This window comes from Homo sapiens, chromosome 4, assembly GCF_000001405.40.
Source record: "Homo sapiens chromosome 4, GRCh38.p14 Primary Assembly".
In the NCBI taxonomy this organism is placed as follows: Eukaryota; Metazoa; Chordata; class Mammalia; order Primates; family Hominidae; genus Homo; species Homo sapiens.
Genome location: NC_000004.12, coordinates 165,096,746 through 165,113,902, shown reverse-complemented (window position 1 = coordinate 165,113,902; position 17,157 = coordinate 165,096,746). Strand labels below are relative to the sequence as shown.

Below are 17,157 nucleotides of genomic sequence, written 5' to 3'. Positions count from 1 at the left end.
TTGTAATCCCAGCACTTTGGGAGGCCGAGGCGGGCGAGTCACCTGACCTCAGGAGTTCCAGACCAGCCTGACCAACATGGCTAAACCCTGTCTCTACTAAAATACAAAAATAGCCAGGCTTGGTGGCACGCGCCTGTAATCCTAGCTACTCAGGGGGCTGAGGCAGGAGAATGGCTTGAACCTGGGAGCCGAGATTGCACCACTGCATTCCAGCCTGGGCGACAGAGCGAGACTCCGTCTCCGCCGCCCCACCAAAAAAATGTATGAGTGTATATATTCTAACTGATATCAAAGTTCTCTCCGGGAGCTGGTAACAGAAAATTTCTTTCCTTGTTTGCTTACATTTTTACAATCATGAGCTTTTTAGAAAATGTCATTGAAGTTTTTTCTCTTTTTGAAATTCAATTTTAAAAGAAACAAGGGCCCAGTGGCTCACGCCTGTAATCTCAGTACTTTGAGAGGCTGAGGTGGGAGAACTGGCCAGGAGGCCAAGAATTCGAGGCTGCAGTGAGCCGAGGTCGTGCTAGGGCACTCCAGCGTGGGCGACAGAGCGAGACTCTGTCTTAATAAACGAACGCCGTAAGCATTCCGAACTGCTTTGTTTCCCATTGGAGAAATCTGTAAATATGTCATGGAAATTGGAATCTTTATTCTGCTCCTGTCCCTCTGCTGGCGGAGTAGGATTTTACCGCTGGTTCTACCTAGGCGTAGAGCTGTGTCTGCAAACAACCAGGCAAGACCGAAAAAAGTTAATGTTCTTAAAATATGCAAGTGGAGCCCGAAAATAGTTAAATTCTTGGACTAGGAAGGCATCCTTAAATGCTCAAGTCTCTGGGTAAGAGCGCACCGAGGGGCTGCGGCCAGAAGCCCCAGGAACCGAGGTGGTTCAGGCGGTAGCCACCGCCCACAGTCCAGGTCTTCTGGGCCGGCACACCCCTCCCACCATCTCAGCCAATCGGAGCTAAGGGGGCGGGGATCGGGCCAGCCGGAGGCGGGGCGGACGCAGGAGGGGGTGTGTCTGGGGAGGGGCCTGGCAGGTCCCAGAAGGTGGCGAGTTTCGCGGCCAGAGGCTTACAGGTCCAGGTGGAGAGGCCGGGCTGGCCAGGGCTTCGGCCTCCGGCGTCGGGAAATGGCGGCGGGGGGCAGGATGGAGGACGTGAGTGCACGGAGGCGGCGGGCGGTTGGCCCCGGAATCCGCTTTTTCTTGTGCCGGGGCGCACGGGGCGGAGACTCAGAGAGGGAAGCCACCCTTGGCGACTGCGGCCGCGGCCGAAGGGGGCGCCGCCTGTGCCCGGGGAGGCCTGGGCGCGGGGCTTTGGGAGGGCTCCAGGCGGCTGTGGGATCCGCGACACGTTGGCTCCGGGCTAATTTTCCCAGTGGAGGCTGGGGTGGGCTCCTGGGCGGTGGGCGCGCGGCCCCCGGGGGTCCCAGGCTGGCGCCCAGCCCACGTGCGGGGTACGTCTTTGATCCCGGAACTGGCAGCTTCACGTGATGCGCGCCTGGCCTGACAGCCCTTCCTCCCCGCGAGTCTCCGGGAGCCGGGCCGATGGGTTCCGCTCGGACGTCCCAGGGGCACAGGGGGCGAATCTCCCTTCCTGGTGAGGTCCCTTGCCTTGGCTCTAGAGGCTGTGGACTTGGAGTGACAACGACGCTCGGGCCGGGCGCCAGCGTCCCGCAGACCTGTCGCTATCATGGCCTGGAAACCCACACGAGAGAAAAAGTGTCATGTGTTGTTTTGAATCTAGCATGGTAGGAATACAAAGGTTTTTAAATCTTTGATAGATTCAAACCAGATTACCAAAACAAAAACAAAAACAAAAAAACAAAAAACCAGTGGCCTAGTTTACAGCGTGTATAGTACAGAATGGTAGCATAATTACAAAAATCTTATTTCTTTGCTTCAGTATCGTAAGGTGTTTTTAGGAGAAACATGTATGTATGCTGAGAGTTAACTGGATTTTCCACTGGCAAGTAATAAAATTTTTGCTCTTGAGAAATGCAAAGTTGACAGTTACTGTAAAGCACTAATTTGGGTTAATAAATTAGTAGGAATATTACTGTGATCCTATCACTGAATGAACTGCATCAGGAAAAGGAAGAGAAACATGAAACAGTTCCAGCATTACGGTAGCTTAGATTCTTGTGCAGTAACCAGTTAAATAATCTTGATGAAATAAAGACCAAACAATTTCTAATGAAACTAAAATTTTCTATTTTTTCCAGTTGAGAAAATGGAAAATTAACTGTAAGACCTGTAAGTAGATTTGAGACTCATATATATTTAAAGCAAAATTCATTGTTTCTGAGTTTTTAAGGCTGAGCTTCATGAGCTGACAATGTACAGAAAAAACCGAATATGTAAGAGGAAAATGAGAGTGTCTTAGAAAAACACATGCAGTAAGTGCTTCTTGGTTGATGCTAAGCTGCTCTGGCGTTCTTGGATCTGTAGCTTTTAGCTTTAGGATGCATATAGTACTAGAAATCTGCTTCCTCAAACACTGGAGCCTGGGGATGGTCTGGGAGGCTCATGCCTGTAATCCCAGCACTTTGGGAGGCCGAGGCAGGCAGATAACCTGAGGTCAGGAGTTTGAGACCAGCCTGGCCAACATGGCAAAACCCCGTCTCCACTAAAAATACAAAAATTAGCCAGGTGGGGTGGTGGGGGCCTGTAATCCCAGATACTGGGGAGGCAGGAGAATCGCTTGAACCCGGAAGGCAGAGGTTGCAGTGAGCCAAGATCGCATCACTGCACTCCAGCCGGGGCAACAGAGCGACAGAGCGAGACTCTGTCTCAAAAATAAAAATAAATAAAAATTAATTAGAGATTAATGTTTTGCTACCAACCACATATTGGAGTCACTTTAGATCTGAGTAAGTTGCCTGCTTTTGGTATTTTGTAAACATGATTCCTAGCCTTCAAGAAAAAGCTAAAAATTTTGGACCATGCCTTAGTTACAGACACTTAAATGAGTTGAGTCAAAGACTTTGTGTTAGTAGGGATTCATTGTTTGCAGGCAGTGAAACCAACTGTGGCTAATTTAAGAAAAGGATGTATTCGAAAGGCTATAGGGTGAGTATATGCCAAGGCCTCTGAAAGGACCCAAACAAGGGCATCTCAAGGCATTGAAGTGACAGGAGTCCTTTCAGGGTCTACCCTGGAATGAATCTGCCTAAATCATGATCTTTCTTCTTTTTTTGTGATGGAGTTTCACCCTTGTTGCCCAGGTTGGAGTGCAATGGTACGATCTCGGCTCACTGCAACCTCCGCCTCCCGGGTTCAAGTGATTCTTCTGCCTCAGCCTCCCAAATAGCTGGGATTACAGGCATGCACCACCACACCTGGCTAATTTTGTATTTTTAGTAGAGACGGGATTTCTCCATTTTGGTCAGGCTGGTCTCAGGTGATCCATCTGCCTTGGCCTCCCAAAGTGTTGGGATTACAGGCGTGAGCCACCGTGCCCGGCCTCATGATCTTTCTTTTACTGCTCATGGAAAGAGTTGGATTCACCCAACTGTTTTTTGTTCCATGACCACTCCTAGAGCAGAGGAGGAGGAAGGGTATTGAAGGATGGTTCCACTAAGACTTAATGCAGAAGTAGACAGTGGGTCCTCAAAGGAAATAGAGTTATTGTCACAGAAGAGAGAAGAGATACCATGTGGGCAAAAACAACAGACATCTTCTACAGGTGGTAATGTAGTTAATAATGGAAATGAAAAAATCATTTGGATTCAGGAGTCCTCTTCCCCTCACCCTTCACTTGCAGATGGTGAGTTAATAGAATGACTGGGTGCTGTTTGTATGGTTACACTGCATATTTCCTATAGGATTCAATGGAAAGTAAATACTCCTGAGTGACATAGAGAAGAACCATATTATAGTCCCCAACTCCTTCAGTGTAGTTAGGAAAAACAAAAGATACACCCATGAAAAGGAAAACAATACAAGGCAGCATAAGAAATATTCCAAATGAATATTATGGGCAATAAGTTTTATAGGATTTTAAAGCAGAAGGAAAACACTTAACAAGGCCAGTTTTATAGAGAACATAAACTTGGTTAGGACCTTGAAAGATGCATAGAATTCTGAAAAAGGTAAGGGAGGATATTTGTAGGGCTCTATAGAAAGCTCATTTAGGCGAGAGAAGAAGGTGCATGAAAGTGACATATTAGGAGATAAAGTAGATTATTGTCTTATAGTGAAGTTTTCAATGCTAGCTTTGTTTAAATGTCCCAGGTCTGGCCAGGTGCGGTGGCTCACGCCTGTAATCCCAGCACTTTGGGAGGCTGAGGCGGGTGGATCACCTGAGGTCAGAAGTTTGAGACCAGCCTGGCCAACATGGCGAAACCCGGTATCTACTAAAAATATAAAAATTACCTGGGCATGGTGGCACATGCCTGTAATCCCAGCCTGTGGTCAGGAGGCTGAGGCAGGAGAATTGCTTGAACCTGGGAGGCAGAGGTTGCAGTGAGCCAAGATCACACCATTGCACTCCAATCTGGGCAACAAGAGCGAAATTCTGTCTCAAAAGTAAATAAATAAATAAATAAATAAAAATTTCCCAGGTCTGAAGCATACAAGAAGTTGAGCAGTCTTTCTTTCTCTCAACACGCATATTGAACACCTTAGCATCTGCTGTGTATCAAGTGTTAAAAGCACAAAGGACATAATATAAAAGAGTCTCTGCCCTTGTAAAGCACATTTTATTCTGACAATTTCAATGCCATGTGCTTAGTATGGTAGGTTATGATACAGATACAGATGTAAGAGAGTTCAGTAGGGACTTCCATTCCCAGCCAACATGGAGTAACTGGGAATAGATATACCATTCTGCCTGAAACAACCAAAAAGCTAGATATAACGTATGATACAACACTTTGTGAGATACCGGACATCAGACAATGAAGGGTAGCAATCTCAGAGATGGGAAACAAATGCTGTGAACCCTATCACTGCTCCGGCTTACTGCCTTGAAAGAGTGTGCAGGCTGTGACAGGGAAGGGGGAAGCCAGGCAGAGCCCAGCAGACTTCTGAGTTGAGGAGATGGAGTTGAGGGTCTAGGAGATCGAGGTAACTGGAGTTCACAAGACAGAGCACCCAGAGAGGAGAGAGCTACAAAGAGGGAGAACTCTGAAGATATGCACGGGGAGCCCCCTGGCCCTGCGCCTACCAGGCATCCAGTAGAGTGCTAATCAGGGCATGAGGAAGCTCTTGGAGGCCTCATAAAGAACCACCTAAAAGGATTGGAAGGAACAGTTTCTCCATACAGGGCCAAGAATACTGCCTATTTCACCCACAAGCCAGACGGAACCCTCATAATTCACAGAGCATGTAGGTAGAGTACTCAGAAAGGTCTTGCCTCAGTAGTGGAGGCCTTAGATTAGCCTTAGATGAAGCCCACCTAATTTCTTAACAGCAAGACTGTTTCCAAGTAACTTGACTGCACTCCAGAACAAAGTTCACGAATATAGGATTACAGAAAATGGCCGGGTGCGGTGGCTCATGCCTGTAATCCCGGCACTTTGAGAGGCTGAGGCGAGCGGATCACGAGGTCAGGAGATCGAGACCATCCTGGTTAACATGGTGGAACCCTGTCTCTACTAAAAGTACAAAAAATTAGCCGGGCGTGGTGCTGGGTGCCTGTATCCCAGCTACTTGGGAGGCTGAGGCAGGAGAATGGTGTGAACGCAGGAGGCAGAGCTTGCAGTGAGCCGAGATCATGCCACTGCACTCCAACCTGGGTGACAGAGCAAGACTACATCTCCAAAAAAAAAAAAAAAAAAAAAAAAAAAGGGAATACAGAAAATACCCAGCACCCACAGAGGTAAAATTTGCAATATCTGGCATCCAATAAAAAATGACAAGGCATGCTAAGAGGCAGGAAAATGTGAGCTGTACTGAGTCCACTGAAACTGATTCAGACATGACATAGGCTAGAAATAGCATGTGAACATTAAACATTATTATAAATGTCTTCTATATATTTAGAAGTTACATAGAGACATGGAAGATACAAAGTAGACCCAGCTCAAACTTGTACAGATGAAAACTACAATGTCAGATTAAGAGTGCAGTAGGAATGATGCTGGGGCTGGGAATGCTAAAAAGGCACCGCAGAGAAGGCGGTTTTGCTGGGACAAGCATTTGACAGGTGGGGAAGAATAAGTAGAGCTGGTGTAGAGATGGAAAGTGTTTCATGAAAGACGGGTATCATAAGCAGACGGCACCAGGAGGGAGGGAAATGGTGAGAGGCAAATCCTTGGCCAGGCGTGGTGGCTTATGCCTGTAATCCCAGCACTTTGGGAGGCCAAGGTGGGTGGATTGCTTGAGTTTTGGAGTTCAAGACCAGCCTGGGCAACATGGTGAAATCTCACCTTTACTAAAAATACAAAAATTAGCCAAGCATAGTGGAGTGTGCCTCTGGTCCCAGCTACTCGTGAGACTGAGGTAGGAGGATTTCTTGAGCCTGGGGAGGGGGGCACGGAGGCTGCAGTGAGCCGAGATCGTGCCACTGTTCTCCAGCCTGGGTGACAGAGTGAGACCCTGTTTTTTTTTTTGTTTTTGTTTTTGTTTTAAAAAAAAAGGTTGGGTACAGTGGTTCACACCTGTAATCCCAGCACTTTGGGAGGCTGAGGGTGGACCACTTGAGGTCAGGAGTTTGAGACCAGCATGGCCAACATGGTGAAACCCCGTCTCTATTAAAAATACAAAAACTAGCTGGACAAGGTGTCGGGCACTTGTAATTCCAGCTACTTGGGAGGCTGAGGCAGGAGAATTGTTTGAACCCAGGAAGCAGAGGTTGCAGTGAGCTGAGATCATGCCATTGCACTCCAGCCTGGGGGACAGAGCAAGACTCTGTCTCAAAAAAAGAAAAAAAAAAGAGAGAAAAAAAATCCTGAGAAGTTACTTGGGGACAGATTGTAAAGCGATAGACTAAGAATTTGGACTTTGTCCTGAGGATTTGGGGATCGTATTAGGATTATCCAGAGGGACAGAACCAATAGGATATATGTATATATAAAAAGGGGGTTTATTAGGGAGAATTAGCTCACAAGATTACACAGTGAAGTCCCATGATAGGCCACCTGCAAGCTGGGGAAAGGGAAGGTGGTAGTGGCTCAGTCCAAGTTCAAAAGCCTCAAAACCAGGGAAGCCAACAGCGCAGCCTTCAGTCGGCAGCCGAAGGCCTGAGAGCCCCAGGCAAGCTGCTGGTGCAGGTTTCAGAGTCCAAAGGCCGAAGAATCTGGAGTCTGATGTCCAAAGGCAGGAATTAAGGAGGCAAGCATCTGACGCAGGAAAGAGAGAGCCAGAAAACTCAGCAAGCTGCTTATACGCCTATTCTGTGCTTTGTTCTAGCTGCATTGGCAGCTGATTGGATGGTGCTTGCCCATATTGAGGGTGGGTCTTCCTCTCCCAGTCCACTGACTCAAATGTTTGGCTCCTCACAGACGATACTTTGCCATCCATTTGACACTTAATATTGACCATCATAGGGAGCTACCCAAAGTTTTTGAGGAGAGAAACACGAATGTTTGTCTTGGAGCAGTGAAAGAGATTGCCAAGACCAGAAGACTGGAAGCTTCTAATAAAAGGCCATGAGAAATGGGAGGGCCTGGACTAAGATAGTGAGAATAGAGAGGAAATAACAGGTTTAGGAGTTAGAATGGTAATGATTTTTTCTCTTTTTATCATGCCCCAGCACTGAGTGGATAGAATGGTAATGATTATAGGGGTAGTGTCTTTGTTTGGGTTGCTATAGTAAAATACAAATAGGGTAATTTACAAATAGAAATGTATTGACCACAGTTCTAGAGGACAGGAAGTCCAAGATTAAGGCAGCCACGGATTCAGGAAGCCCAAGATCAAGGTGCCAAGAGCCCTGGGGAGGGGTTGCTCTCTGCTTCAAAGATGGCGCCTTCTTGCTGCATCCTCACGCAGTGGAAGGTGGAAGGGAGCTCATTCAAGCCTCTTTTATAAGGGCACTGATCTCATTTATGAGGGGGGGAACCCTCATGGCTTAATTACTTCCCAAAGGAAAGCAGGGAACTATTGGGGGACACCAACATTTAGACCATAGCGGGGTGCAAGTCAAAAGTAAGAGTTAATAAAAAGGCCAAGTGTGGTGGCTCACACCTGTAATCCTAGCACACTGGGAGTGCACTTGGGAGGATTGCTTGAGGCTAAGAGTTCAAGACCAACCTGGCCAACATAGCGAGACCCTGTTGATTTTTATTTTAAAATTTAAAAAATATTAAAAAGAGAAAAGAGTTAATAAAGAAATAATAGTGGCTAATACTTATTGAGTGCTCTCTGTGCGTCAGGCAGTGTCATGAGGACTTGCATGTGTAGTGACTCATTTAGTATTCCTGACAGAGCTACGAAGCAGGTGCTATTATTAGTCTCCTTTTTAGATGTGGAAACTGAGGCATGAGAGATGAAGTAACTTGCTCTCAGCTAGAAAGCGGTAAAACTTGTGCTTGAATCCAGGCAGTTTGCCCTTAGGAGCCTGACCTTAACCACAGCTCTTACTGCCTTTGGTCACAGTTGATCCCCCGTATGTCCTGATAATCTCTTCTAATTAGCCCAGGTCTTTGATGATGCCCATAATTGAATTAGAAAATACTGCAGAAACAGGTTTGGGGCACTCATTCATTCATCTAGCAAATGTTTGCTGAGTGACAACCATGAGATAGTGTTGAGTGCTGGGATTACAAAGACAAGAGGTGTAAAGGTAATGGGTCCAATGACGTCTAGTGGAGAAGAGATAAGTAAGAGACCATCACAGGATAGTTTGATAGAAGAGGCAAGCACAGAATGCTTTGAAAAACATGGAGGGTGGCACAATCCAGATTAGGGGTATCCAGAAAGGCCCTGTGGTGGGAATTGCCCCTTCTGAGCATGAAAGAATGCACAGACATTAGCTAAGGGAAGAGCAGATCTCAAGGCTCCAACATCTGCTGACTGAGAATGAGCTAGAGGCAGAGGGGTCTTGAAGAGAACAGGAGTAATCTGAATTGTACCATGAGTTATGGTAAACTAAACAGGAAGCAATCTAGGCATTGAATAAAAGACTTGGCCAGGCGCGGTGGCTCATGCCTGTAATCCCAGCACTTTGGGAGGCTGAGGCAGGCGGATCACCTGGGGTTGGGAGTTTGAGACCAGTTTGGCTAACATGGCGAAACCCCATCTCTACTAAAAATACAAAAATTAGCCGGGCATAGTGGCGCGTGCCTTTAATCCTAGCTACTCAGGAGGCTGAGACAGGAGAATCGATTGAACCCAGGGGGCAGAAGTTGCAATGAGCCGAGATTGAGCCACTGCACTCCAGCCTCGGCGACAGAGCGAGATTCCATCTCAAAAACAAACAAACAAACAAAACAACAAAAACAGTTGCAGAGCAGTGTTGAATACCTGCTACTGGAAATTGAGGAGCCCACTCCAGAGCTAGGTTACACCCTAGATTACTGTCCTTATCTTTGTAATCTTAGCAATCAACAGCCATCTCTTACATCATTTGTCCTACTACCTACTTCCAAAATAAAGAGCTCTCATTCTGTGTAGCCAAAACCTATTCATGAATCCTTCATTTCTGTCTCATTGTAGTGCAGTTAGCTGACCTAAATTTTTTGGCATTGTCTTCTATGCTTTTCATTTGCTGATTTGTTATGTGCTTCCCATGAACCATATTCTTTTTTTCTTTTTTTTAACATGTGATGAGAACACTTAAGATCTACACTCTTAGCAAATTAAAAGTATATACAATGCAGTATATATCCATATTTTTGAGACGAAGTCTCTCTGTCGCCCAGGCTGGAGTGCAGTGGCGCAATCTCGGCTCACTGCAACCTCCACCTCCTGGGTCCAAGTGATTCTCCTGCCTCAGCCTCCCGAGTAGCTGGAATTGCAGCTTGCGGCCAAGAGTTCAAGACTAGCCTGGGGCCGGGCACTGTGGCTAATGCCTGTAATCCCACCACTTTGGGAGGCCGAGGTGGGTAGATCACCTGAGGTCAGGAGTTTGAGACCAGCATGGCCAACACAGTGAAACCCTCCCTCTACTGAAAATACAAAAATTAGCTGGATGTGTGCCGGGCACGGTGGCTCATGCCTGTAATCCCAGCACTTTGGGAGGCCGAGGCAGGCGGATCACCTGAGGTCAGGAGTTCGCGACCAGCCTGACCAACATAGAGAAACCCCATCTCTACTAAAAATTAAAAATAAAAAATTAGCCGGGTGTGGTGGTGCATGCCTGTAATCCCAGCTACCCCAGGAGGCTGAGGCAGGAGAATTGCTGGAACCCGGGAGGTGGAGGTTTCGGCGAGCCAAGGTTGTGCCAGTGCACTCCAGCCTGGGCAACAAGAGTGAAACTCTATCTCAAAAAAAAAAAAAAAAAAAATTAGCTGGGTGTGGTGGTGCACACCTGTAGTCCCAGCTACTCAGGAGGCTGAGGCAGGAGAATTGCTCGAACCTGGGAGGCAGAGGTTGCAGTGAGCCAAGATTGCGCCGCTGCACTCCAGCCTGGGCAACAGAGCGAGACTGTCTCAAAAACAAAAAACAAAACACAAACAAACAAGACCAGCCTGGGCAACATAGTGAGACCGTGTTGCTACAGTTTTTAAAAAATTAATTAATTTTTTAATTAATTAAATTAAATTAATAATTAATTTTTAAAAAATTGGATTCAGGTAGGCAATGTGTTCTCTTGCCTTTAATTTGTATGTGGTTAAAAAGCTCTGTAGTTTAGTAGATTTGTCTTAGAAACATAATCTAGAAAGTGGTGATTATAGGTTGCTTGTTTTTCTGCACCCCAGGGTTCCTTGGATATCACCCAGAGTATTGAAGACGACCCACTTCTGGATGCCCAGCTTCTCCCACACCACTCATTACAAGCTCACTTTAGACCCCGATTCCATCCTCTTCCTACAGTCATCATAGTGAATCTTCTGTGGTTTATTCATGTAAGTTGGCTGCAAGAAGGGGACCTATCCAGAGGTGATGTTTGTAAAAATTATATAAGTGTTTCAGAGGGCAGTTGTGCTGTATCTATCAACATTTAAAATGTAGGGCACATGTTCTTAGGACATCCTGAGTGCTGTGTCATGGGCAAAAAAAAAAAAAAAAAAGTACGTACACTTTTACTTATATCTTCAAATAATTCATTGTGGATATATTTGCACACATGTAAAGATATTGTTGATAATAGCCATGTTGTCTGTCATATCAAGAGACTACAAACTACCTGGCTACTTGGCATCCAGAAGACACTGTGTGTCCCATTCATATAAGGAAATGCTATGCAACTGTTAAGAATGGGGTGGATAGGTATACAGTATATTAACATAGAATAGCCTTCATGATTACATTGTCGAGTGAAAAAAAATCAAGTTTTCAACCTTGTGTACAGAATGTTCCTATCTGCAGTTTTTAAAAGGGAGTTGAGAGGGCTGTTGTGGACCTGTTTTCCTGTATATAATAGAATATTTCTAGAAGCATTCACAGACCTAGTTGCCTCTGAAATGAGGACTGAGGGTCTTGGTGGAAGAGACACTAATATAATTTACTGTTTACTTTTGAATACTACTTGATTTTTTAACCATGTGCTTGTATTACTTTTTCAGTTACAAAAAAGATGCAGAAAAGTCTACATATGTTGACACAGGAATTTATCAATTTACTTATACCTAGGGAATAATGTTTAGCAGACAAATCAAGTTGCAGTGGAATAATATGTACAATTTTTGTATGATGACAAAATTACAACTATCTGGAGTTTATAAAAACACATGTGCAAAAGGTCTTATCGCAGGCCTCACTGGTGGTGACTCCACTGCCAGTCTGTTTAATCAGTTCCTCCCTTTCGACGATTGCAGTTGGAAGCACTAGGGGTTATAGTTGTTCTCTGCTGCAATGTGAAAAATCAAGAGGGCTCATTCTCACCACTCCTTGAGTATTTACGAGGACTGTGAATGGAGTTGATTGACTTGCTCAGCCTCTGCTCAGCCTCCTACTGATAGGTTTGCCTGTCTGCAGGGACCGTATCCCTCAGCACATTTCCTGGCTTCCCCTGCAGCTGGGATTCCTCTCCAGTGAAGTGCACTGTGGGAGACTTGAGTTCAGAACTGAATCACTGGGGAGAGAGGTGGTATCCCCTTTCCTTGAGGGAACTAGTAGCTGTGGTATGGCTCCACCATGGCTTCCTGATCCCCAGATCCCAGCTGAAGCGCTTTCTTCTTGGTACCACCATGTGCAGGGGTGGCCTTGTGGTTTCCAGATGGTGACCTCTTTTTCTTCTTTCCTTTTACTTTTTGTGTAACATACTCTGTACCAGCCTGGGTGCCATAGCAAGAACCTGTCTCTATAAAAACTTCTTAAAATTGGCCAGGCATGGTGGCACAGGCCTGTAGTTCCAGCTACTCCAGAGACTGAGGTAGGAGGATCGCTTGAGCCCAGGAGGTTGAGGCTGCAGTGAGCAGAGATGGCACCACTGCACTCCAGCCTGGGCAACAGGGCAAGACCGTATCTCACACAGAAAACAAAAATACATTTAAACAAAACAAAACGAAAATACATTTAAAAACTCATTTATAAAAATAGGACAGGGGAAGCTGTAGGTATAAGAATGTATGCTGGGAAGCCGGGTGCGGTGGCTCACACCTGTAATTCCAGCACTTTGGGAGGCTGAGGTGGGTGGATCATGAGGTCAGGAGATCGATATCATCCTGGCTAACATGGTGAAACCCCGTCTCTACTAAAAATGCAAAAAGTTAGCCAGGCGTGGTGGCGGGTGCCTGTAGTCCCAGCTACTCGGGAGGCTGAGGCAGGAGAATGGCGTGAACCCGGGAGGTGGAGCTTGCAGTAAGCCGAGATTGCGCCACTGCACTCCAGCCTGGGCGACAGAGTGAGACTCTGTCTCAGAAAAAAAAAAAAAAAAAAAAAGAATGTATGCTGGGATGGTAGTTATTGCTTCCTAATTACAAATATTGAATATTAATCTTTCTGCTCTCCTTTCCCCCAGCTCGTGTTTGTTGTTTTAGCATTTTTAACAGGTGTGCTTTGTTCTTATCCTAATCCAAATGAGGACAAGTGCCCAGGAAATTACACAAACCCATTGAAAGTTCAGACGGTTATAATCCTTGGGAAAGTTATTTTGTGGATTCTCCATTTACTCCTTGAATGCTACATCCAGTATCACCACAGCAAAATCAGAAACCGAGGCTATAACTTGATCTACCGATCAACAAGGCATCTCAAGAGACTTGCGTTGATGATACAGTCCTCTGGTATGTCCAATTTTCTCTCAGCTACTTGGGTGCTTGAGGGACAAAAATGACAGCAGAAAGAATATATGAAGTTTGATTTTAGAATCAAATATATTCTCTCATTTTTGTAAGGTTGATGTGTGTTCTGACCACTAAAATTTGGATCACCTTAATGTCTTAAAGCTTTTCTTGGCCGGGTGCGGTGGCTCACGCCTATAATCCCAGCACTTTGGAATGCTGAGGTGGGCAGATCACGAGGTCAGGAGATCGAGACCATCCTGGCCAACATGGTGAAACCCCGTCTCTACTAAAAATACAAAAATTAGCTGGGCGTGGTGGTGCATGCCTGTAATCCCAGCTACTCAGGAGGCTGAGGCAGGAGAATTGCTTGAACCAGGGAGTCAGAGGTTGCAGTGAGCTGAGACTGTGCCACTGCACTCCAGCCTGGCAACACAGCGAGACTCCATCTCAAAAAAAAAAAAAAAAGAACTTTTATTATGAAATATATAGCCTTAATTTTCATTTGAAATCTGTTATTTGTTATGAACATGGTGTCCTCATAGCATGTGTGAAGTGTGGAATTATACCCTCTTTTGTTACCAGGTGGTTTACTCATCTCATAAAGATAGAAATGCTGTTGCTATTTGACATTTCTGAGGATAGGGAGAGGGAATTTTTAAATTTTATTTTATTTTCTCTGAGGCAGGGCCTTGCTCTGTCACCCAAGACTGAAAGGCAGTGGGGCCTTCATGGCTCACTGTAGCCTGGAATTCCTGGGCTTAAGCAATCCTCCCACCTCAGCCTCCTGAGTAGCTGAGACTACAGGTGCATGCCACCACACCCGGCTAATTTTTTTAAACATTTTATGTAGAAGCAGGTTCTCACCATGTTGCCCAGGTTGGTCACTGGAACTCCTGGCCTCAAACAACCCTCCTGCCTCAGGCTCCCAAAGCTCTAGGATTACAGGTGTGAGCCAGTCCTGGTGGGAACTTTTTAAAAATGAAGCTCAGTGCTTTTCTTGCAGTAGGAGACAGTAATGGTTAGTTCCTAGGATAGAGGACTGTTAGGCAGTGAGATGCATTATATCAAACAGAAAACTTGGAAAACACACAGGTCCTAATTTATGAAGGCAAGATCAGAAGGTCCACATGAGACTTAGAATGCATGAGTACTTGCTTTTCTTTATCGTTGCAGACATTTTAAAGATTTAATGGAATTAAATTGAACTTCTTTAGGTAAATTTGGCATTAAGTTATAGTAAATGGCCGGGCACAGTAGCTCATGCCTGTAATCCCAGCACTTTGGGAGGCTGAGGTGGGCAGATCCCTTGAGGTCAGGAGTTTGAGACCAGCCTGGGCAACATGGAGAAACCCCTCTCTACTAAAAACACAAAAATTAGCCAAGTGTGGTGGTGTGCCCCTGTGGTCCCAGCTACTCTGGAAGCTGAGGTGGGAGAATTGCTTGAGCCGAGATCATGCCACTGCACTCCAGACTCCAGCCTGGGTGACAGAGTGAGACCCCATCTCAAAAAAAAAAAAAAAAAAAAGAAAGAAAAAAAGTTGTAGTAAATAACTTAGTTTCTACCTTTTAAAAAGATCCTGTTTTTCAATTTGAGTCCAGAATAAATCTTAAAAATTTTTGAATCCAGGCCAGGCTCGGTGGCTCATGCCTGTAATCCCAGCACTTTGGGAGGCCGAAGCGGAAGGATCACCTGACGTCAGGAGTTCGAGACCAGCCTGGCCAACATGGTGAAACCTCATCTCTACTAAAAATACAAACGAAAATTAGCCGGGTGTGGTGGCACGCGCCTGTAGTCCCAGCTACTTGGGAGGCTGAGGCAGGAGAATCGCTTGAACCTGGGAGGCAGAGGTTACAGTGAGCCGAAGTCATGCCGCTGCACTCCAGCCTGGGCAACAAGAGCGGAACACTGCCTCAAAAGAAAAAAAAACTTGAATCCATATGTAGTCTTCCTACTTGGAGGAGGCAGCGAGAAAAAGAAAAAGAAGGAAAAAGAAAAAAAAATTTTTTTTGAATCCAGGCTGGGCATGGTGGCTCATGCCTATAATCACAGAGCTTTGGGAGGCCAAGGTAGGAGGATTGCTTGAGGCCAGGAGTTCGAGACCAGCCTGGGCAACATAGTGAGTTCCCCCATCTCTACCAAAAATGAGAAATTTAGTGCTGTAACAAATGAGCACCAAGTTAAGTTTTAAAAAAAAAAAGAAATTCCTGGGCGTGGTGGCTCACGCCTATAATCCCAGCACTTTGGGAGGCCGAGGCGGGTAGATTCCCTGAGGTCAGGAGTTCGAGACCAGCCTGGCCAACATGGTGAAACCCTGTCTCTACTAAAAATACAAAAATTAGCTGAACGTGGTGGCGGGCAACTGTAATCCCAGCTACTCGGGAGGCTGAGGCAGGAGAATTGCTTGAATCCGGGAGGCAGAGGTTGCAGTGAGCTGCAATCATACCATTGCACTGCAGCCTGGGTGACAAGAGCGAAACTCTGTCTAAAAAAAAAATTAAGGCCGGGCACGGTGGCTCATGCCTGTAATGCTAGCATCTCAGCACTTTGGTAGGCTGAGGCGGGAGGATCACTTGAGGTCAGGAGTTTGAGACCAGCCTGGTCAACATGATGAAACCCCATCTCTACTAAAAATACAAAAATTAGCTGGGTGTGATGGCAGGTGGCTGTAATTCCAGCTACTCAGGAGGCTGAGAATCGCTTGAACCCGGGAGATCAAGATTGCAGTAAGCTGAGATCGTGCCACTCCAACCTGGGTGACAGAGTGAGACTCGATCTCTAAATAAATAAATAAATCTCTATTTCAAAATAAATAAATAAATAAGTAAAATAAAATAAAATAAATAAATTAGTCATGTGTGGTAGCCTGTGCCTGTAGTCCTAGCTACTTGGGAGGCTGAGGTGGGAGGATCCACTTGAGCCCAGGAGTTTGAGGCTGCAGTGAGCTATGATTATGCACCACACTCCAGCCTAGGTGAAAGAGTGACACCCCCCTCTATAAAAAAAGAAAAAAAAATTGGATCAAATTAGAGATTTTTTTCTCCAAAAAAAAAAAAAAAAGGCTCCACAGAATTTAACTTTTATTTTTCTTCTGTTCTGTTAGTGCATTTTCTTTTTTCTTTTTTTTTTTTTTTTTGAGATGGAGTCTCGCTCTGTCACCCAGGCTGGAGTGCAGTGGCGCTATCTCGGCTCACTGCAAGCTCCGCCTCCCGGGTTCAGGCCATTCTCCTGCCTCAGCCTCCCGAGTAGCTGGGACTGCATTCGCCCGCCACCACGCCTGGCTAATTTTTTGTATTTTTAGTAGAGACGGGGTTTCACCGTGTTAGCCAGGATGGTCTCGATCTCCTGACCTTGTGATCCGCCGGCCTCGGCCTCCCAAAGTGCTGGGATTACAGGCATGAGCCACCGCGCCCGGCCTGTTAGTGCATTTTCTTAAAGGGCATGCTGCAAGTTCATCTACTCAGTGAAATTCTCAGTGGAAGCTGAAGGGCTATGCTATATCAGCGTGAAGCAGTTTATAGAGTTGGGTGATCCTGACTGCTCTTGAAGGGGAAGCATTTATTGCTCCCTGCCTCTTGTGAGAATGAGCTTGAGAATGTTCAACTGTTGATGTGCAGCTCTCTCTTTTGGCCAGAAGATGTCAGGGTAACACAAAGATTAAAAAAAAAGAAAAAACTTAATTTTAAACTACAAAAGATCTTATATGATCTGTGACCAAAATAATACTCAGTTTCTCAAGTGATGGTCTGGAAATAGTATTTTGGAAGCTCACAAGGAGATTATTTGATCTTTACCTTTCCAAAATCTGCCTTTCAAATTTTTGTTAAACATGTGAGCCGTAATCATAATCTATTTCTGAACACTTGGACCTTTAGAATCACAGG

General features: G+C 45.6%; 1 protein-coding gene across 2 annotated transcripts in view, besides 4 other annotated features; it reads left to right on the top strand.

Moving 5' to 3' along the window:
- Nucleotides 688-747: an enhancer, noted in NCBI's record as "active region_22116". NCBI's record gives its function as "activates an Ori minimal core promoter by ATAC-STARR-seq in GM12878 lymphoblastoid cells {active_cell/tissue: GM12878}" and the evidence as "EXISTENCE:reporter gene assay evidence [ECO:0000049][PMID:35858748]".
- Nucleotides 871-1,069: a silencer, noted in NCBI's record as "fragment chr4:166033986-166034184 (GRCh37/hg19 assembly coordinates)". NCBI's record gives its function as "represses an EF-1alpha promoter that drives an FKBP-Casp9 reporter gene in an ReSE screen in both phorbol 12-myristate 13-acetate-treated (for megakaryocytic differentiation) and untreated K562 erythroleukemia cells {active_cell/tissue: K562 | K562(+PMA)}" and the evidence as "EXISTENCE:reporter gene assay evidence [ECO:0000049][PMID:32094911]".
- The window catches only part of TMEM192 (transmembrane protein 192), a 42,253-nt gene continuing 26,138 nt past the window's right edge, over nt 1,043-17,157 (top strand). For both annotated transcript variants that reach the window (XM_011531718.4, NM_001100389.2), the window contains exons 1-3: nt 1,043-1,156; nt 10,807-10,953; nt 13,011-13,275. In XM_011531718.4, the coding sequence (XP_011530020.1) occupies nt 1,130-1,156; nt 10,807-10,953; nt 13,011-13,275 (439 nt within the window). In that variant the 5' untranslated portion in view covers nt 1,043-1,129. The remainder of the gene's footprint in view (nt 1,157-10,806; nt 10,954-13,010; nt 13,276-17,157) is intronic.
- Nucleotides 1,238-1,497: a silencer, noted in NCBI's record as "silent region_15782". NCBI's record gives its function as "represses an Ori minimal core promoter by ATAC-STARR-seq in GM12878 lymphoblastoid cells {active_cell/tissue: GM12878}" and the evidence as "EXISTENCE:reporter gene assay evidence [ECO:0000049][PMID:35858748]".
- Nucleotides 1,528-1,767: an enhancer, noted in NCBI's record as "active region_22115". NCBI's record gives its function as "activates an Ori minimal core promoter by ATAC-STARR-seq in GM12878 lymphoblastoid cells {active_cell/tissue: GM12878}" and the evidence as "EXISTENCE:reporter gene assay evidence [ECO:0000049][PMID:35858748]".